The sequence below is a fragment of the Homo sapiens genome, chromosome 2 (assembly GCF_000001405.40).
Source record: "Homo sapiens chromosome 2, GRCh38.p14 Primary Assembly".
Classification (NCBI taxonomy): Eukaryota; Metazoa; Chordata; class Mammalia; order Primates; family Hominidae; genus Homo; species Homo sapiens.
The window spans coordinates 37532815-37555516 of record NC_000002.12 but is presented as its reverse complement, the minus strand read 5'-3'; the positions used below and the strand labels follow the sequence as shown (position 1 = coordinate 37555516).

The 22702-nt window shown below is 38.8% G+C and overlaps 1 annotated feature.

Moving 5' to 3' along the window:
• Window positions 19067-19306: an enhancer, noted in NCBI's record as "active region_15584". NCBI's record gives its function as "activates an Ori minimal core promoter by ATAC-STARR-seq in GM12878 lymphoblastoid cells {active_cell/tissue: GM12878}" and the evidence as "EXISTENCE:reporter gene assay evidence [ECO:0000049][PMID:35858748]".

The following is a 22702-nucleotide window of genomic DNA, read 5'->3' as shown; positions in this document are numbered from 1 at the left end:
TTCTCAGATCAACACTCAAATACTCTTTATTCCCGAAACCTGATGTCTGAATCCCCCCCAACTCCCACATTTAGAACACTGCAACAGACTTCTTTCTTTCCCTACCAATACTCCTGTTATTCAGGAGCTCTTCTGTCCCTAGAACAAATAATCACCTACAGATGACAGGGCAAATTATCTTAGATGAGAAAGTCTGTCTTGAATATATTAGAGAAAGTGTTTCCACCAAAAGCAACTATAGGATGTGAATTACATAGTTGAATTTTTAAACTTCCCATTGGTCTTAAGAATTTGGGGGGTCTGCGAAGAAGAGTAAGGAGGAGGGGAGGGTTAGGAGAAGGGAATGAAGAGGAAGAAAAAGATGAAGGAGAAAGAAGAGATGGTAGAGGAGAAAGAAAAGGAGAAGAAACACTGCCTTGTTATGATAGGCAGCATAACTCTCTTCCCCAGAAACAACTCACAGAAAAGAGCCTAATTGCTCGATTCATTGGCTACTTCTCAGTCTGTAACTTACTTGTTACCCACCCCTTCCTGCAAGTCTCTTTCCTCGGCCTCCATGACATCTCTGGTTCTGACTGATTCTCAGTCATCTTTATGGTCCCCTCTTTCTAGCCACAGCCCTTATGTTTATTGTTCCTCAAGGTCCTCTTCTATGTGCTTTGCTATTCTCCCATCAACCCTTGGTTTCAGCCACTAGTGGGATGATGCTGATGATTTCAGAGGCCATGTCTTCAGCTCAGATCTCTTCTTTGTGATTTATGTATCCAGCAGCCTTTTGGATATTTCAACCTTCATGTGCCACAAGCACTTGGAATAAAACACACCAAACTCATCATTTACACCACTCCCAACTCTGTTTTTCTTGTGTAATTTATAATTGAGATTGGTACCACCAACAATCTTATTTCTCAAGTCAGAATCTGGCCTCATACCTCCCCCCATACACACATACTTACTTAACAAATTCCTGTTAATTTCACTGCCTACATTTGTCTTGAATCCTTCCAATTATTGCCTCCATTCCTTCTCCTAAGCTCCTGCAACATGGGTGCACCTACTCCTGAACCCTCCAGTTCTCCATGTGGCATTCTCCATGTGGCAGCTGTGATCTTTCTAAAAGCCAAACCTGATTGCATCCATGTCTTAATTAAAGGATTGTAATGTCTTTCCATTGTGCACTGTATAATGTCAGGTTTCTCTAATGCCATCTCAAAGGATTTTATCATCTGATCCTTGCTTATCTGTAGCCCTTTATGTTTCCTGTGCTCCAACGGCTGCTTTTAGTTGCCCAAATTTACCATGTTTTTCTCATATGCCAGCCTATCCCACGCTTTCCCTGAGCCCAGCACAGACAGGCACTGAAAAAAACTGTTGGATGAACAAATGTGTGAATATGAAAGAATCTATAATTGCTGGTGACTGATTTAAAACAAACGAACAAGCCAAAGAAACTAACCAAAAACCTCTGTAGCTCAATTTTTGCTTTTACCCAGGAATATATAAATTAATATCATACAAGCAAAGATAAACAGTGTCTTTTCTGCAGCAAGAGACTTTATCTTAATTCTTTTAGCATAATTTGATTTTGCCTTTTGAAAAAATTAAACTGCATTTATTATAGAGAGGCTTTTATGGTTCCCTAAATATATGCCTGCTGGTCTCTCTGCAAATTGTGTCTTCCAAATGTCTGTTCTTCCTAGAACTATTTGCCTATTAGAAGCCAGTTATTATTTTTCCAGGAGTGGCAGCGTAAAGCTCGAGTATTTGTTTGTAGTCGGGCAATCCTAGAGATTTTGGATTTGTTTATGTTTCCCCAGATTCTTGTTCCATCATAATGTAGCATTCTGATTTTGACCAAACCTCAGGGCTTTTGCCTGTGGTCCAATAAGTGGGTGTGCACACATATTGTTCAAATAAGTAAAATATGTTGGTGGTGTCCAATCCGTCTCTTGGCTACTTCTTAAACTGCTAAGTGCCTGCAGAAGCTCATGACTATTTTATCACAGGAGCTAGTTTTCTCTGTTCAAAGTGAAGTTACCTAACTTTGATATAACAACTGCCAAGAATAAAACTTCTTTTTTTCTTATGTTTAATTATACAATTCATTGGCAAAATAATCATATAGCAGTATCAGGGCACTGCAAATGAAACTGGCTTCAGAGGATTTCAGCAGAACAAGAATTTTTAAAAAGGATACCGGGCAGCTTAAGAATTGTCGGGAAGGCTGGACAACCACGTAAACTCATGCTATTTCCCTAGGGGTCCAATATCCCTTTTGATTTATAATTTTTCTGTGGAGGAGTTTCAGAGGTTTTTCATTGGCCCTTCCTACCATAGTGGCTCTTACCATAGGTCAGGGAGCTGATGTAGAAATTCTGCCAGATGTTGACTACTCCTAATCCAGTTATACCCTAAAGAACTAGACTCTCCCCTTCTCCCCTCCCCTGTGCCTACTATGGGGTGCACTTGACTAAAAATTCCACTTATTACACAACCAAAGAAATCCTTACTCCTTGACTAAGGGAAGTACAGCAGCATTCCAAGTCCCCAGGAATCATCCGTTAGTTCAAGGCCAGTACCATGGGGATCCTGATATCCCTTTTGAGACCAAGAAGCCATTTCAAAGATAGCATCTTTCACCTGTATCACCAGCCTCCAGAGAGCAATTATCAAGGAGAGGAAGAGTTAGAGAACCAGGAGAAAACTCTAGGAAACCAGTGTTTTTTCACTGTCTTTAGCCCCAACCAGGCTACATTAACTATCTCTGATTCCCCCGCTGCAGTGTTTTTTAAAGGTTCTAGGATGGCCCTCAAAGCTTTGGCAAAGGGAGTGCCTTGCAGGCCAGCTTGAGGGCCATAGTTGGGGAATAGCAAAACAGGTTGCCATGATAAATTCTCTACAACATTCCTATCTCTCTAGGTCTTTGGGCTCCTTTATCTACATTAAATTTTAAAATATCTGTCATCTCAAATACAATTAGTGTGAGTCATCAAAACAACTGGGCAGGTAGAAAACCAAATTTACTCATGAAGCACTGCTTCCTGTCGACTCTCCGAGTCTCAATATCTGTTCCATTGGTGTTTTCTGTTTCATGCAAATGACTCTCACTGATTAAAGAAGATTGAGAAGCTATTAAAGGAGATTGAGTGGCTCACAGCATTTACAAGGTAGCTGGAGAAGCAAATTGAGAGGCCACACAACCTCAGAGGACTCAGATCAACTCAGGCCAAAAACTGATGCTGCCTCCACTACCCACCCTAGGCACTTGCCCAGTGCTCCCGCTTCAGCGATGGCCACCCTAAGAACTCTGTCTGTGACAGCTAGTGCCACCCCTAGAGAGGATTCCCTGAAGAACCTGCTTGACTGAGGCACCAGTTTCTAATTTATAGTCCAGGATGGTGTAAACATATCTATGTCTCAGCTTCAAAGGAGGCTGGGGAAGCAAGTATCTGCCACGGTTAGCTTCAGCAGTGGGAAAGCATCTCAATGTGCCATAAGATATCACAGATAGGAAATTCCCGAAACAAAGGAATGCATTTCTGATGCTGAGCAGGCAAAATAATGACATATGCCTATTGCAGAGTGTTTCCAGACTAAAGCTTCATCAAAACATTTTGAGATGTCATGCCTACAACATTTGTGATTTGGTCACCCTAATTTCCTTTTCACTAGCTTGCTGATGAAATAGAAATTGAGGCAGCAGCAATACCATAATCCATCGAACTTAGCATGCCATCAATTGCAAGTCATGCCATTATTTTCTGCATCACTAAAGAAATGCTGCCAAGTGTCCTATGATTTGTTAAAGGAAGAAGAAAACTCTCATGCAAACTTAAAGTAAGCACATCAAAGATTTTATTCAACTTGCTAATTATTAAGAGAACAAGCATAATATTAAACGAGTCCAAATGGGATTTGAGAAGTTGGGTGTATATATAGGTGATTTACTAGATTGTTGGGTTAAATTTGAAGAAAACAAAGCAAAAATCTGATTAATATCAGACAAAGCTATAGCCATATCATTGGGCTTATCCATTTCATGGGATAGAAATGATTTGCATTTCTACTGGACTAAATCTACAATCTAAACTCTACCTCTATAAAATTATAAAATAGCCAAATAGAAAATCAAACCTAGCACTGCACTAAAAATAAATCTCTCTTGTCTATTTCCAAGTTTGGGATAATATTTTGATAGCCTCGATGTTTTCATATTGCTTAAAGCTCTTTTGGGCTTATTTAGAATAGACTTTTAGCATATATCATGCTAAAACATACACTAAATAGAGAATTCTACATATCTACATTCAAAGTCTTATAATTTATTTTTCAACTCAGAATCATTAAAGTTTATAATTTTTCTGTGTATTTCTGTTCCTCATGCTATCAAGAGCATTGGTGATGCATTTCTTCTGAGGATTCCTCTCTTTTCTCTGGAATTTTCTTCCAAGAAGCTGACACCCATTCTGCAACTTTTGATGCTGGAACATCCTTGATTTTTTTCAGGTGTCAACAGAAGATTACAAGGCAAGGCCAACACTCACATTCCTTTCTCAAATGGTCTTAAATGTTTGGGGTTTTTTCGCACCTGTGGAGAGCTTATCCTTTAAATGGCTAAGTTTATGAATGTGCAGGCAATGACAACCACACCATTACTGCTTTCTGGCTGGCAGAGACCATAAGACACCATCAACTGTGAAGAGACATTCCAGTTTGAGAGCTGAGCTGCTATGGTGTAAAACGTGTGTTAGAATTGATGAACTATAGATAGTTGTAGATAGATAGATCTAAATATGTAGATAGGTTATGGTTTGACTTCGTATTACGTGAGTGGATTTTTCTTACCTGTGCAGGTATCAAAATATAGTGCCAGATGAGGCAGAGATTGCTAAATATTCCCAAGATACGTTTTCCCCTTCTTCGTTTTAATAAGGGAGCACTCTTCCCACTGGATTTTAGCAGGACAGTTGCTACCCAGCTAAATGTACATTTCACAGCATCCCTTGCATGAAGGGGTGGCCTTATAACTAAATTTTGGCAAACAGATAGAAGCAGAAGAGATATGTGCAACTTTCACATCTCATTTTTCAAAGAAAGCTTTCACTCCCCACTTCTTTTTTTGCCATTTCCTGTGTGTGTGAGCTGGAATAGAGACTTGGTGCTCCACAGAGGTGGTGAGGGGAGGATGCAATAGAAGAAATTATGTGACTGGATTAACCCATGGGGAAAAGCTTCCACTTGCCTTATTGCACAGGAGAGGAATATATTGTTTGAGTCAGCAGCCCAGCCCATACCCTACATTAATACATGAGGTCCTAGAGGGATGGTGGCTTTTCTAGAATAGTTTGACTTATCTTCTTGACTCAAAGGAAGGGACTCGGTAATTTTAGACTGAGGCAGAGCTGAGGATTTCTGGTGATTAGAAGTCCATACAACTTCACAGACCAAGTCAGCTCAAACTTGAAGTCAATTCAACTTAACCTGAATAATTCTTAAGCCCACCAGCTGTTAGTGCTGGAGAAAGGTTTTGTTTTGTTTTGTTTTGTTGTTTTGTTTTGTTTTACATTTGTCCTCAATTTTACCATTCCAATGGGCACATGCCATGTGATAGGAGCCCCAGGAAGGGCTTATACTTACTAGTCCTCAATTTTCAGTTCTCATGGTCAAAGCAGGCAAGAACTCAAGTCAGGCTATGGAAAGGAGAAGCAGTCAGCGAGAAACGAGAGTTGAGAAGGACTCCTCTGATAATGAAAACAGATCATTATAGAGCTGCAATTCATCCTCTAACTCACCCGGCACACAGCTGCCGTCCAGGGTGGCTGAAGGAAACATGGACAGTCAGCCCACCATGAATTGAGCTAAGATGCCCAATGGCTCACAAATAGGATCTGCAGGAGAACCTCAAGTCACCAGTGGGAGACCTTATTCACCACAGGGGACCCAGATGGGTCATGTGGAAATAGGACACACACACACACAACTCCTATTCAAGACAAGTTTTCTACTGAAATATAGAAATCAATTGGCCATGTATCTGGCCAAATAATTTCTCTTTTAGCTGTATGTCCTAGAGGAAATCTCGCATGTGTGTTCAGGGTCATGTAGATAAATATGTTCACTGTACCTTTGCTTATAACAGTAACAATGATAATTACAAATAATCTAATTGTCCATCAAAAGGGAACACTTAAACAAAATTTGGAATATTAATACAATAGATTACTACATAGAAGTTAAAATGAATGAGGTTTTTTAATTAACAAAGATCTCAAAAGCATGGCAACGAGTAAAAATAAATTTGCAGAACAAAACACATAGCATATAACTTATATAAATAAATGATATGTACGGTTTGCTGGTTAATTAATGCATAGTTAAAAAAATAAAGGATACATAGCAACTTCATGACAGTAATTACCTTCAGGAAGAGGTATATGACGCGGTTTGGGATGAACAAAGAGATTTCAACTTTCTCTATAATGTTATATTCCTTTTATTTTGAACATTGGGAGAAAATGGGAAAATATGCTACATTTGGTCATTCTGAGTAGTAGTGGGTAATTGGTACAACAGTGCCTGCTATGTTACTTTCTGCATTGTTTAGTTCTTTCAAAGCTTTTTAGAAAAGAAAGTTAAGTAAAGGAGGTAAGATTGGGGAGTATGTGTGAAGAAGGAGAATTTCAGCTTTTGCTCTGATATTTTTGTAATAGGATGTTGAATGGGATGTAACTGCTATTTTAAAATCCATAACTTAGGCCTAAAGCTGAGTAAGTACCAAGAAGTGCTAACGACCTTACTTTCTACAGAGAACAATCAACTTTGAAGGTCCAGATTCATCCTCTAGGGTATACAGAGAGGCAGATCGGCCCCACCTCAGTTTGCCCCTCATCTCTACCCAGCAGATAATGAGAGAAGCTCGAGCAAGTGGCAGATGGCTTGGGGGAAGTGCTGAGGCTGTCCCCTCCCTTGTCCTTCAGCCTTCATCACCCAGGAAATGTGATGGGGGTTTGGACTGGGAGAACCTGCCAGAACTGGAAACTGGCATCTCAGTCTGCTTGAGCACTGAACTTGGAGATACTGAGCCCATCCCAAGTGTGGCAGAGGAGAATTAGAGGGGAGGCACAGGAGGACTCTGGCATTTTTTCCTTTCTCAGCTGGGCTCAGTTCTCTGTTGCTGCCCCAGCAGCTCTTCTCCCTTGGATTCTTTTCCTCTTGTTCCTGGTTACAAATCGCAGCCAACTGGCTCCCAGAACCCTTTGCCCTGTTCAAAGACACAGGTCCTTTCCATTAACTAGTATTGGTGATATGGTTTGGCTGTGTCCCCACCCAAATCTCATCTTGAATTCCCACGTGTTGTGGGAGGGACTTGGTGGGAGGTAATTGAATCATGGGGGCAAGCCTTTCCCATGCTATTCTCATGATAGTGAATAAGTCTCATGAGATCTGATGGTTTTAAAAAGAGGAGTTCCTCTGCACAAGCTCTCTTTTCTCTTGTCTGCTGCCATGTGAAACGTGTCTTTCACCTTCCACCATGACTGTGAGGCCTTCCCAGCCACATGGAACCATAAGTCCAATAAATCTCCTTCTTTTGTAAATTGCCAGTCTCGGGAATGTCTTTATCAGCAGCATGAAAACGGACTAAAATGGTAAATTGGTACCAGTAGAGTGGGGCACTGCTGAAAAGATGCCCAAAAATGTGGGAGTGACTTTGGAACTGGGTAACAGGCAGAGACTGGAACAGTTTGGAGGGCTCAGAAGACAGGAAAATGTGGGAAAGTTTGGAACTTCCTAGAGACTCGTTGAACAGCTTTGACAAAAATGCTGATAGTGATATGAACAATAAGGTTCAGGCTGAGGTGGCCTCAGATGGAGATGAGGAACTTATTAGGAACTGGAGCAAAAGTGACTATTGTTATGTTTTAGCAAAGAGACTGGTGGCGTTTTGCTCCGCCCTAGAGATTTGTGGAACTTATGAACTTGAGAGAGATGATTTAGGGTATCTAGTGGAAGAAATTTCTTTTTTTTTTTTTTTTTATTATACTTTAAGTTTTAGGGTACATGTGCACATTGTGCAGGTTAGTTACATATGTATACATGTGCCATGCTGGTGCGCTGCACCCACTAACTCCTCATCTAGCATTAGGTATATCTCCCGATGCTATCCCTCCCCCCTCCCCCCACCCCACAACAGTCCCCAGAGTGTGATATTCCCCTTCCTGTGTCCATGTGACCTCATTGTTCAATTCCCACCTATGAGTGAGAATATGCGGTGTTTGGTTTTTTGTTCTTGTGATAGTTTACTGAGAATGATGATTTCCAATTTCATCCATGTCCCTACAAAGGAGCAAAGCACTCAAGAGGTGACTTAGGTGCTGTTGAGGGCATTCAGTTTTAAAAGGGAAACAGAGCATAAAAGTTTGGAAAATTTGCAGCCTGACAATGCAATAGAAAAGAAAATCCCATTTTCTGAGGAGAAATTCAAGCCAGCTGCAGAAATTTGCATAAGTAACAAGGAGCTGAATGTTAATCACTGAGACAATGGAAAAAAGGCCTCCAAGGCATGTCGGAGACCTTTGCGGCAGCCCCTCCCATCACACGCCTGGAGGTTTAGGAGGAAAATATGGTTTCATGGGCCAGGCCCAGGGTCCTTCTGTTTTGTGTAGTCTAGGGACTTGATGCCCTGCATCCCAGCCACCCCAGTTATGGCTAAAACGGCCCAAGGTACAACTTGGGCTGTTGCTTCAGAGGGTGGAAGCCCCAAGCATTGGCAGCTTCCATGTGGTGTTGAGCCTGCAGGTACACAGAAGTCAAGAACTGAGGTTTGAGAACCTCCACCTAGATTTCAGAAGACGTATGGAAACACCTGGATGCCCAGGCAGAAGTTTGCTGCAGGGGCAAGGCTGTCATGGAGAACCTCTGCTAGGGCAGTACAGAAGGGAAATGTCGGGTTGGAGTCCCCATACAGAGTCCCTACTGGGGCACCACCTAGTGGAGCTGTGAGAAGTGGGCCACTGTCCTCCAGACCCCAGAATGGTAGATCCACGAAAGCTTGCACCATGTGCCAGGAAAAGCCGCAGACACTCAATGCCAGCCCAAGAAAGCCGCAGGGAGGGAGGCTGTACCCTGCAAAGCCACAGGAGTGGAGCTGCCCAAGACCATGGGAACCCACCTCTTGCACCAGCTTAACCTGGATGTGAGACATGGAGTCAAACGACATCATTTTGGGGCTTTAAGGTTTGACTGTCCTGCTGGATTTCAGACTTGCATGGGGCCTGTGGCCCCTTTGTTTTGGCCAATGTCTCCTATTTAGAATGGCTGTATTTATCCAATGCCCATACCCCCATTGTATCTAGGAAGTAACTAACTTGCATTTGAGTTAACAGACTCACAGGTGGAAGGGACTTGCCTTGTCTCGGATGAGACTTTGAACTGTGGACTTTTGAGTTAATACTAAAATGAGTTAAGAATTTGGGGGACTGTTGGGAAGGCATGAATGGTTTTAAAATGTGAGGACATGAGATTTGGGAGAGGCCAGGGGTGGAATGTTATGGTTTGGCTGTGTCCCCACCCAAATCTCATCTTGAATTCCCACATGTTGTGGGAAGGAACCAATGGGAGGTAATTGAATCATGGAGGCAAGTCTTTCCCATGCTACTCTCATGACAGTGAATAAGTCTCAAGAGATCTGATGGTTTTAAAAAGAGGAGTTCCCACGAAGCTTGCAGTGAGCTGAGATCGTGCCGCTGCACTCTAGCCTGGGCGACAGAGCAAGACTCTGTCTCAAAAAAAAAAAAAAAAAGAGGAGTTCCCCTACACAAGCTCTCTTTTCACTTGTCTGCTACCATGTGAGATGTGCCTTTCACATTCCACCATGATTGTGAGGCCGTCTCAGCCACATGGAATTGTAAGTCCAATAAACCTCTTTCTTTTGTAAATTTTCCAGGCTGGGGTATGTCTTTATCAGCAGCATGAAAATGGACTAATACAGTTGGAAAGTTACCAAATCTGCAGAGTCTACGAAGTTTGGATTGGTGCAGTCCCTGGTCTGGAGGAAACCACTGGGAGTCCCCTTGTACTGCCTTTACTTCTTGTGGGTGAGAATGGGGTTTACTAAATCTCAACACATCATGGATTGGCTCTCCATGGCCCAGCATACCTCCACTAAGATTTCTTTCCAATAAAGTAGTGCCTGTCTACTTCTTGTGTGGATATTGAGTCTTTGGTGAATCAGCCAAAGCCAATTTGGTCCACACTCTTAGTTTTTTTTTTTTTTATGGTAAATCACAGAAGCCACCAAAGAAGTCTGTGGTGGAGAGGGTTGGCTAGCTACCATCAACCTCACTAGTAGGTTATAATTAAATCAAGGCTCAGATCTAGTATGCCAGACAGAGATGGTCTACATAAGAATCCATAAATATAGCAGACACAAACTAATCAGATGACCTACTCTGCAACTTGGGAAGTGACAGCTATCCTTTAGGTTCTCCATCCCTGTGTGACACATTCCTGCAGGAAGATGGCCACACACCCTAGGCAGGATTCTATTTCTTCTAGTCAGGATTATTCAAGCAGAAATCCTCTTAAACAAGTGGTTTTCAACTGGGGTGACTTTGCTCCCAGGGGATATTTGGCAATGTCTGGAAACATTTTTCATTGTCATGGGGAGAAAAAGGCAGTATGCTACTGGTGTATAGTGGGTAGAGGCCAGAAATGCTGTTAAACATCCTACAAGGCACAGGACAACACCCTTGCAACAAACGATTATCTTGCCCAAAATGTCAATAGTGCTGAGGTTGAGAAACCCTATCTGAAACCAATGGCTGGATACAGAAACAATTATGGAGCAAGCCTTTGGCACCATCTCAAAGGGGACAGGACAAACCTTGCCAGATTCTGAAACTCTATTCATGCAAGGGTAGAGACAGTGTCTTTAAAGTATTTTAGCCAATCTACATATATTGAATACTTTTAATTTCACCAGTAAGCCCCCTTTTCCATCATTTGTTATGCTAATTAACAAGTCACCAGTTTCACCAATTAAAAAAAAATTTTGACATTAGTGTGCTAGTTAGTAAAGCTTCATTGTTGATTAAGTTATGGATAGCAGCAGGCATGGGAATAGATTTAGAAAGTAGGAAATAATTTAGCCAAAATGTCAGGCCCCTGCAGGGAGGTCTCAGAACATAAGACTAGAGAGGTAGAATAGAGCAAGAAAAGGAGGACTTTAAATGTGCTCCTGGATCGCTTTTGCAGGAATTCTCCATAGAGACCATGAGCATGCAGTCAGCATTAAGTATTAAGTGCGGTTAACACTTCCCTTTCTGGCTCACTCGGATGGGTTTGAAATGACAGCAGAAAGAGGCACATTTTGCCCCATGTCATCATCCTGACTAGAATTAGACATATCTCCCTTACTTTTATAGAGCCGAATGATTCATTTCCTAAGTAGTTTATGTGATACTCTATTCTTTATTTGGCCAAATTCTACCTGAAGGGCTTCAAGAAAACATACATTTTCTAAATCACTAAAAATTTTATGCATTCTTCTATAGAACAAGCATTGAGTTTTACATATCCTGTAAAGGAAAAAGAGACAAAATGTGTATTTCTGTATTTAGACATGTAGGTATTACATTATAAATATATAAATGCTAAATATATACATTTTAGCTTATTTTTCTAAGTTGATAATAAAGGGACCAAAGCTGGTTATTAAATAAAGTTATTTAATCAGGGTTGGAAAACTAGCATAGAAGAATGAAAGTTTGGAACACATAAACAGTTTCTGAAAGTCAGACAAGAAATATGCTTCACATAAAAGTTGAAATTGATTGATATTACTTAATCAGAAAAAATCAGAACTTTCTAGCACATAAACTTACTAATCACTTTGTAAATAAGGGCTATAAATCATATACAACCTAGGGAATAAAAGTGAAATCATTCTGTTACAATTCAAATATATATCAGTGGGGAAGATTTTTAAAAGCCTTATACTAAACATTATTGTTTTCTCTAAGAATGAGAATGGTATCACTTATTTAAAAAAAAAATTTTAAGACAATGTATTCAAAAGCCAGACCAAATGAAGATTATAAAAACATTTTCAAAAGTTATAATTCATAAACACCATTGAGGATTTAGTGAGCTACAATTAAAGTGATTAAACAATTTAAAGAGTTTACTGAGGAATGCACCAAACGATTAAATACATTTTATGTGCTTCATAAACACCTGAGGCTACTCTATAGCATTCACTAATGAAGAAATAAATTCTGATCATTCCATTATGATAATTATAATGACTGAACATAAGAGATGGTATATACAAAATGGAGACAAGGGTTCTCTAAGGAACACAGATATTATTTTTTTAAGAATAATCATTTAACAAATAGGTGGTGCTTACTCTCAAAGCCTTTCACAAATATTGACTCATTCATTCTTCATAATCACTTGATTATGTAAAACACTATTATTATTTCCTTCTTAAAGATAAGAAAATCAAGGTTAAGTAAATTGTCTAAGGTCACAGAAAAAAGTTGTCACAAATCTCTGAGAAGCATTAAGTAGCTAAGAGTTCTAGAAAACGTCAAACTATGTTTAGATTAAGAAGAACATAATAGGTCTTCAATCTACTAGAGAATATATTTTAATGTAAACAGATTACGTAAGAAGACAATTACTTCATTCACTTTGGCTTTATCTTTTCCATCAAGAATGATCTTCCATCTGACAGAGCGAACAAACATAATTAGTAGGGAACTGAAGACCTAGATGCAAGGTAAATTTGAAAGGAAGCACCTAATCATGCTAAATGGAATCAGTTTTCTACACCCAGGTTAATTCCATTTCAGTAGGCTAAAATAACACTCAGGTGTGATTTTGATAACCCTGAGAAATCCTGAAGAGTAAGACATGAAGAACAAAGCGAAGATGAGCAGATGTCCTGACTTTCAAAAACAAGGAAAAAGTACTATTGCATCTTAGTAACTAACCTGGTAAATGTTAGTAAACAGGATCCATAAACAGAAGTTTATGAGCACTCAGAAAGGACACAGTGCCAGAAATCAGCAAGAGTTTCCGAAGAAAAAGACATGCCAAACTAACCTCTTTCCTATTAGGATCAGGGAAATAGAGGCAGGTCTTATGTATCCATGATCCCTACCTATGTCACTTAGGAGAGGAAATGTCTTGGAAAAGATAAGTGATGTATTCCATGGCATGTCATGAGCAAACAGCAAGGGTATCTTCCCACCTGCCTTTCTGATTGGAAAGTCAGATTTCTAAACTAGGTCATATTGCTTGAAAATTTCCTCCCACACTTGTAGCCCTCCAAATAGCCAAATTCAACATGATAGCCAATACAAGGAAAAATCAAGCTTGTGTGGGTGAGTAGGGGGAACAAGAGATAACAGGTGGTGTAGTCAGCACAAAGCAATATATTTTCTCCAAATAAATACAACCCCAGAATTTGGGGAACAATCGAGAGGGTGATAGTCTGTAAAACTAAAGCTAGTAGAACCAACTTAAAAATAAAATGTAATCTGCTGAAGAACTTCATCCAAATAAAGTTTGCAAATGTGTTTTTTTAAAAAAATCTAAAGAGAGTCTCAAAACTGATTAAGAAGCCAAAATGTCTCACACATAATCAAGGTTACCTGCTGATATCACTAATGGAAAGAAAGAGGCGATCAAATTAAATTTATTATCATCTGATGGAGGAAATTATGAGTTAACAGAAGGGTGGCAAGCCACATGGTGTCGAGAGAAAACAGAGCCAGAGAATAAGGATTTGGCTGGGTTTATCCAACATGGTCCAAAGTAGAGCGATATTGTCTCTGGCACTGACGACAATTTTTTGATAATATTTTGATGACTCTCCCTCTAGTCTTTTTTGTAAAGCATATTGCAAATACTTACATAATATTATCCTTTTGCTTAGCCTTACAATATAAGCATTTTCCCATATTATTAAAAACTGCTCACAGAAAGAATCGTATTGGCATAATATTCCTTGATGTAGAGATGCTATAATTTATTCAACTATTGCCTAATTTCTTAGTCGTTTGTAATTTTTTTATGATTGCCAATATTCTGCAAAAAATGCAAAACATTTGCTTGCTTTGTATTATTTTCTCAGGATAATTTCTGGAAATCAAATTACAGGGCCAACGGATACTGACATTTTAAAGCTCCTGACAAATATTACCAAACTGCTTTCCTCTGCTTTCTCTCTCATCGGTATCATTAGTCTTCAAAATGATTAAATCTTTGATAATTTGGAAGGTAAAATTATACCTCATTTTAATTCTTATCACTTAATGAGGCTGAACATTTTTCCATGTTTATTTGCCATTTGATTTTTCTCTTTTGCAAATTGTGTGTTTATGCCTTCTGTCTAGTTAGTTTTAGCAATTTTTCTTATGAATTTAAATGACCTCTATTTGGTAAAGAAATTAAGCACTTATTTGTCACACATATTGCCAATTATTTTTACCAGTTTTTCCTCTTAATTGCATAAGCTGTTTATGTTTTATATTTCTACATAATGAAAACATTTTTCTTTTCCTATGTTATCTCTTCTATGACTTTTTAATTTAAAAGCTGTCCTAATCCTCAGATTTAAAATATTCTAGTCTAGATTTGTTACAGTTTTTAAAGTAATAATGAATTCACATAGGCTGTATTTTGAGACATGGTATGAAATGCAGATCTGAATCTTTTTTTTCTACTTTCTTGTATTTTTAGCAATGTAGTAGGTGTATGCAAGTAGCATTTACAAATAAGTCCTCTTCGCCTTTATGATTTGTGATGTTTCCTTAAGAATATATTCAGCTCTTTTGCATAACAGACAAAAGGGAGCTAGCTATTCTTTCCTGTCCATCTTTCAATTTACTTTATACTGGCCTTATACTGTTTTAATTATTAGAGAATTTTAATAAAATAAATAGGGCTATAAACTCTCCATTTTCAAAAAGTTTGTTTATTGTCTCTAGTTGGTTATTCCAATTAACCTTTGAAATAACTTTTCAGGTTCAAAAAATCCAAATGGAATATTAATCATACTCTGCTTCATAAGAATTAGTATTGAAATACCAATAGTATATATTGGAAGAAAAATAATTCTCAGTGTTCTTCCTGAAACCATCAAATTACCTTGGTTTTGAGGCTTTGTCCAATAAAAACTTTTGACTATGAACTAGTTTCCAGAATGCCTTGATGTTAGTAAAATGATGCTCTAAAAAGTAGACCTAAGTGAGCGTACTTCCTGAAAAAAAAGTATTGCCTATTAAAAATAAATACATATACATTCTAGCTAATCAAAATATTGTAAGGCTTTTTACCAAATAAGAAAAACAGCAAATATTGTTTTTTCTTAACTGAAAAGATAAAAAGCTGAGAATCGGCTGGGCATGGTGGGTCACACCTGTAACCCCAGCACTTTGGGAGTCTGAGGCAGGCAGATCACGAGGTCAAGAGATCGAGACCATCCTGGCCAACATGGTGAAACCTCGTCTCTACTAAAAATACAAAAATTAGCTGGATGTGGTGGCAAGCACCTGTAATCCCAGCTACTCAGGAGGCTGAGGCAAGAGAATCACTTGAACCCAGGAGGTGGAGGTTGCAGCGAGCCGAGATCATGCCACTGCACTCCAGCCTGGCGACAGAGTGAGACTCCATAATAAGCTGAGAATCAGAACTTTAATCAGTGTTGATCCCACCAACCTTCCAAATTGTAAGTATGGCCTAAAGTAGTTAGCTATTCTGTGTTATTCTCTGGAGTAAAAGAACAAAAAGATTGAAAAAGATATTTAAAGTTCAACTCATGATTTACAATCCATCCTATCATTGAAACTCCTCGACAACATCCCTGTCAAGTGGTATTTAGATAATGCTTAATATAATAATAGAAAGCTCACTACCTCCTGAGATTGTTCATTTTAGAAAGCTCTGATTTTTAGAAATTCTTACATAGAACAAAATTAATGTCCTGTAACTTCCCAGGTGTATTAGTCTGTTCTCGCACTGCTAATGAAGACATATCCGACACTGGGTAATTTATAAAGGAAAGAGGTTTAATTGACTCACAGTTCCACATGACTGGGGAGGTCTCACAATCATGGCAGAAGGCAAGTGAGGAGCAAAGTCATGTCTTACACGGTGGCCAGCAAGAGAGCGTGTGCAGGGGAGCTGCCCTTTTATAAAACCATCAGTTATTGGGACAGTTATTCCCTATCAGGAGAACAGCATGGGGAAAACCCACCCCCATGATCCAATTACCTCCCACCGAGTCCCTCCCATGACATCTGGGAATTATGGGAGCTATAATTAAAGATAAGATTTGGGTGGGGACACAGCCAAACCGTAACACCAGGAAACAAATTCTAATCCTTATGCTACCTAAAAATGCATCATACATTTGAATCTTTCATTCTCCAGGCTAAGCATATTCAATACTTTACTAAATGTGTCATCCATGATGAAGCTTCTAATCTTATCATTAGTTTATCTAGCAACCCTAACTAGTTTCTCTAATTTTATTGGGTTGGGGGATTAGACCTTTTTAATATCGCCTTTAAAACACGGCACCAGAACTGACAACAACAACCCAGTTGAATTGGAGAATCCCATTCACATAACCCAAGGACAATATGCTCTGAAATAAAACAGTTGAAAGTATGTTTAGCTGGACTTTTTGTTGTGTTGTGCTAAAACTGGAGACTGGAACTCATAACTGAAAACAAGAGTCCCCCATTCTAGAGTTACCAAATATAAGCGTCCAATACCAAGCCTCCCTCACCCCTTCTTCTCAAGGACTTCAGAGAGGCAAAGAGACACCAAAGAGGCTTTGGGGAATACAACCAAGTGGGCTGAGGAAGACTTAAAAGCTCAAGCAAAAGCTGAATCCCCCTCTCAAGAAATTGTGATTGTGGGGGCCCCAGCCATGATCTCCACGGAAAACCAGCTTTGGAACAAGTTCCACTTATAAAAAGCAAAACCACCAGAGAAAAGATGGTATCCACACTATCCAGGGGAAAAGAAAAACAACATTTTCCCTTTTATTGTAGTCTTCCCTCTTCACATAAGAGCTGAGCTATTGTAGCCTAGAAGAGGAAGGCAGAGGAGGTGGCCCTGACAGAGATTGGGCCAATGCTGGAATGCCACGAGGAGGGAGTGAGCAGAGCATGGCCCCATACCCAGGCCAGCCCTAGGAACCATGGGCAAAGCCTGCACTGGGAGGAGGCAGCGAGGGGAGACTTTCACAGGACTGAGATTGGAGCTTTTACAAAATATAACTGGAAAGTTACAGAATTTGCCTAAGATATCATCAAATGATGGGAAAAGAAATTCAGTGGAGTATGGATGAAGTCAGTGCCAGAACAAAATCATTTTGTATTTATATTCCATTGAGGGGCGATTTCTCAATCAACCAGTTATAAAGCCACATCTTGTTTTGCTTTGATATTTCAAGGAGAATATAGGAAAATACTAAGGCTGATGAGGACCAATTCCAAGTGGCTCCATGATAATTCATTTTCCCCTGTACAATTCTTGAAATTAACTAGATATCTATTGTGTTCCAAGATACTCTTAAACGAGGCCCCGAACACCTACAGTTTGAAACAGCATCTGTACAGCTCCTAGCACCAACTCAGCATAGTTGTTTTACTGCCAAAAATACTCCGCTTAAAGAACGTGAAGCAGAGTGGAGAAAACTCTTTATACTTCAGGACAACTTTGGGTTCTCCTAATAGCAATTGTTTGATATCAAAAGTTCTGATTTTTCAACTAATCTAAATACTAAATATTCCATGCTCCACCAGTGCTATCTTTTATATATCATACCATTCTACATTTTGAGTCCTTTGTCTCAATTGTTTTCTCTGCCTTCAGAGTCTGCCTTCGCATTCTGTATGGAGCTCTCTGAGTCTTCTTTCAAGACTATATCAAATGGTATCATCAGCCCCAATCTCTCGTCTGGCTAGTTGTTTCCACAGGCCTTTCCCAATACCTCTGTTAGCACTTAACCCACCACTGCATATCACTCTATCTGGTTCTCTTTTTTTTTTTTCTTTTTGGTGATTTTTATAAAGACAGGGTCTCACTCTGTCGCTCAGGCTGGAGTGCAGTAGTGCAATCGTAGCTCACTGCAGCCTCGACCTCCCAAACTCAGCCAATCCTCCCACCTCAGCCTCCCAAGTAGCTGGGACTACAGGCAGATGCCCCTTTCTATATTTTGACTGTGAGCTCTACTGGTTAGGGCTTTTTTATTACAAGTCACAGAAATTCAATTCAAAACAGCTTAAGCGAAAAAAAATTATAAACAAATAAATGGAGGAAGTTGTTATTGATTCACATACCTGGGAAGGATGGGGGCAAATGTGGCCTAGGGAACACCAGAATTCATGGACTCAAGCCATCTTCTCAGGTCTCCTACTCCATCTGTCTCTCATCTTGTTTTTCTCTGCTCAGCTTCATTGTCTGCTATGCAAACAGGCTTTCAAAGGATGCAATCACCTGCAGATTGAAAAGCCCATCCTTGCAGTTCAAGATGCAAGAAAAGGAGAATATTTTTCTCTTTCCTAGTGTTCTTTCTAAAATCCCACAGAAGGACTCGGCTTGGCCTGCTTAAATCACATCCCCATCCCTGGACCATTCACTGCAGACAGGAAGTTAGGACTAAAATAATTGGCCTAAGTCCAAATCAGAAAGTTTTCAACGCATCATTTTGTACTTCCAGGAATCTTTTTTCTATTTTCTTCCTAAGGATATTTTAACCAGGCTATTGAGGAAAGTTGTACATAAAAATCTAAAAATGCAAAATAAAATCCACTAGTCAAACTATTCATGGTAACACTTGCTACTGTCTAAACATGGACAAAATTTACATCTAAGATTTCTGGTTCTGGCAATACAGCATAGTAGGGATCCTGACATACAAGGGTGCTAGATAATATATATTTTCTATAAAATAATTTTTTAAAGTTTATTCCAAATTGTTACACAAATCTGTAAGAATGAAAGGAAAATTCACTAAGATCAGGAACAACAGACCAGATAGACAATTGAGAATTGAAACTATGGGCAGTCTGGGTAGGTGTATGAATCCAGAGGAATTAGGTCTTTGGCCTGTAGAGGGCGCTGAAAAAAAAAAACAGCCTTCAAACAGGGCAGGAAGAGGCGCCATAAGTAAGATTACTATATACAAAAAGTGAGACCCAGGAAGAAATATGCCTTCAGAGAAAGGTGGAACAAGGTGGAAGACCCCTTCATGCACAAGCAGACAATAAGGAATATTGCCTAGGACCTGGAGGTGAGGGGAGTTTTGTTTTGTTTTGTTTTTGAGACGGAGTCTCGCTCTGTCGCCTGTGCCGGAGTGCAGTGGTGCAATCTCGGCTCACTGCAAGCTCCGCCTCCCGGATTCACGCCATTCTCCTGCCTCAGCCTCCGGAGTAGATGCGACTACAGGCACCTGCCACTGCGCCCGGCTAATTTTTTGTATTTTTAGTAGAGACGGGGTTTCACAACGTTAGCAAGGATAGTCTCGATCTCCTGACCTCGTGATCCGCCCGCCTCGGCTTCCCAAAGTGCTGGGATTACAGACGTGAGCCACCGCGCCCGGCCGGTTTTGTTTTTTTTTTTTTTTGTCCCCAGTGAATACATGGACACAAGCCAGCCTTCATATACATGTTAGATCTATACTATTTGCAATAATTCTGAAAATTAAAAATAGAGACGTACAATTTAAGATGGACCATGCTTTAATGCCTAATTTAAAATGGACTCAGATTTAATGCCCATAGGTACCTTGCAGAAGCAACAAAAATCCTTCCTAGAAGAATGTATGCCCAAATCCAGCCTCAAAAATTTCCCACTGATAGAATTACAGCCAATATGAGCTTACAATAAAAAATCACAAAACAGAAATAGAAGTAAGACACCATGAGTAAGAGTCAGAGAAAAATAAAACAGGATGAGATATGCAAATTCATTACCTAGTAGAATTATAATACAACATATAAATATGGTTTTAATATTTTAAAAAATAAGAGGGAATTAAAAATATAATGAGAAAAAGCTTCAATACATATCCATACACAGAAGGAATTTCCTGCTTTCTATCATATTTATTACTTCCTTAAAAATGTAATAAATTTGGCTAAACATTATCTTGCTTTATAATAAATTAACGTGAAACAGAATATTGATTTATCTTTTTCTTATAAGATAGAAACTATAGTGACCTACAGCAGTTTAATCTTGACATGATATTTGTCATCTACATGATAAATATATAATTTATTGTTTGGTATACTTTATAAAATATGAAATACAATAAATTTATCACTGTATTGTAATAAAAATGAAATATAACTTTTTATAACATAAAGTAAGTCCAAATTGGTTAATTTATTTAACAAAGGGAACTACCTTTGGCAATTAGGGCAAATGGAAGATGTGTTTCATAAATTGAATAAACTAAATGTTTTCATTCTATATTTCTAAAACATGTGAGAAGTCAAAAGCATTTGAAAAAATACTATATTGGTAAAATTGTATTGAAATGAACAATATTTCTATTTTCCAACACTTTCTAAACATATTGGATTAAAAGGAATGCCTTTAAGAGTACCAGATAAAATTAATAGTCATTTCATACTAGATGAAGACTTCAAGGATAAGCATGATTTTTTAATATTTTCCCAGAAACCAAAAAATGAATAATTCTACTGACTGCATAACACATCCCTTTGATAGACAGGGTTGTTTTAAATTTTTTGCTTTCAACAAAATTAAACCTGAGTTATCGGCTACTAGATCATTAAAAACAATTTTTAATTTTATAGCTACATGGGGATGTATCCTTATGCAATTTTGGTTATATAAGCCAGAAGCAGTCAAAAGATTTGGATGATATTACAATAAGAAAACTTATATTAACACCTACCTGTTTATAAGAACAAGATTTCTTAGCACAGACATTCATAAAAATGAAAAATAGGTACAAAATTAATGCTAAACTCTGGCAGTAAGTCATTTTCATCCAATGAAGTCACAAGCTAAAAAGAGTAAAAGCACTACTCATCTCATTTACATATGCAATTCCAATAAAACTTTGCTTTTTCTTTAGTAGTTATTTATCAGTATTTATGTTCATAGTATTTTGATCAATTGTATACTAATAATACTTGTTATAACTGAATTCAGACCAAAATTTTAACATGGAGAGCTTTCAACTACAGAAAATAAAAGTAATCCTATGATTTCAATTTATATACATATTTTTCTGGCAGAGAACTATGATAGGGTTATGGGGAAAAGGTTTTCAGTAAAAAATAGTTTTTAATAAGATAATATTTTCTGGGTGAAGTGGAAAACTAAGTTAAAGAGAAAAAAGATACAATTACCAAAAGTTAAAAAGGCTTATTCATGTGTTTTTAACTGGAGATAATGAATATCAAATAATTGTGTTACTTAGATTCCACTGAAGACATTTAAAAGAGAAGTGTAATCATTTGCTTTCAAATGTCAGTATTTGTTATATATCAGAAATATATTCTTTAATATGTTTTCAACTTATAGTACAATTTTTCTGATGTTAACTTTAAAATGTGTAAGGGAGGGTGCGTAGATTTTCAAAATTCTTTTGGTTTCGGAGTAAAAATGTAGGAGACTATGGCTTAAGGATTCAAGGCTAGTGCTTCTAAACCACTCCCTGATGAAGGACACTTCTCTTTTTTTCATTTGTTTTTGTTTTTTTAGGGACCACTTCTTAAATTTTCTCAACTTTTGTAGAGTAATAAGTGGTCCATATGCCCATGACTACTTCATAGTCACACCACGTGTCTCATTGTGCAAGTTCCACAACACACGAATTTGTCTAGACCTTGCTCAACAAAACAAATATTTTGTGTTGGCATTAAAATATGTCCACAATTTTTTTGACACTCCTCTCTTCAAAAGGTGGAGACAAACTTCCTTCCCCTTGAGTGGCGACTGCACTTAGTTCCTTGCTTCTAACAAATGGAATATGACAGAAGCCACTGTGCATGACTTCTGAGGCTAGTGAGGCAGGAGAATGGCATGAACCCGGGAGGCGGAGTTTGCAGTGAGCTGAGATTGCGCCACTGCACTCCAGCCTGGGCGACAGAGCGAGACTCCGTCTCAGGAAAAAAAAAAAAAAAAAGCACTCTAGCCTCTTTCTTGTTCTCTCTCTCTCTCTCTCTCTCTCTCTCTCTCTCTCTCTCTCTCTCTCTCTGTCTCACATTACTCACTCTGGAAAAGTCAGCCATCATATTGTGAGAATACTCATGCACCTTAATGGAAGGGTCTATGTAGAAAAGCACTGAGGTCTCCCACCATCTGGCATCTGAATGAGTCACCTTGAAAGTGAACATCCCCTCTGCCCCAGCCCCTCACCTCAACCTACCCTTCAGATGGCTGCAGTCCCAGCCAGCGACTTGACTGAAATCTCAGAAGAGATCCTTAGCCAGAAACAACCAACTAAGCAGATCCTGAATTCCTGAACTACAGAGATTGTGTGAAATCATAAGTTCATTGTTGTTTAAAGCCACTACGTTTTGGGATAAATTCTTTTGCGTCAACAGATCCCTAATATAGCTATTAGCCATGTGCTTGGATGTTCTGACAATGCTCAATCACTACAAAAATTTCTAAACTCTTCATTTCTGTTTCA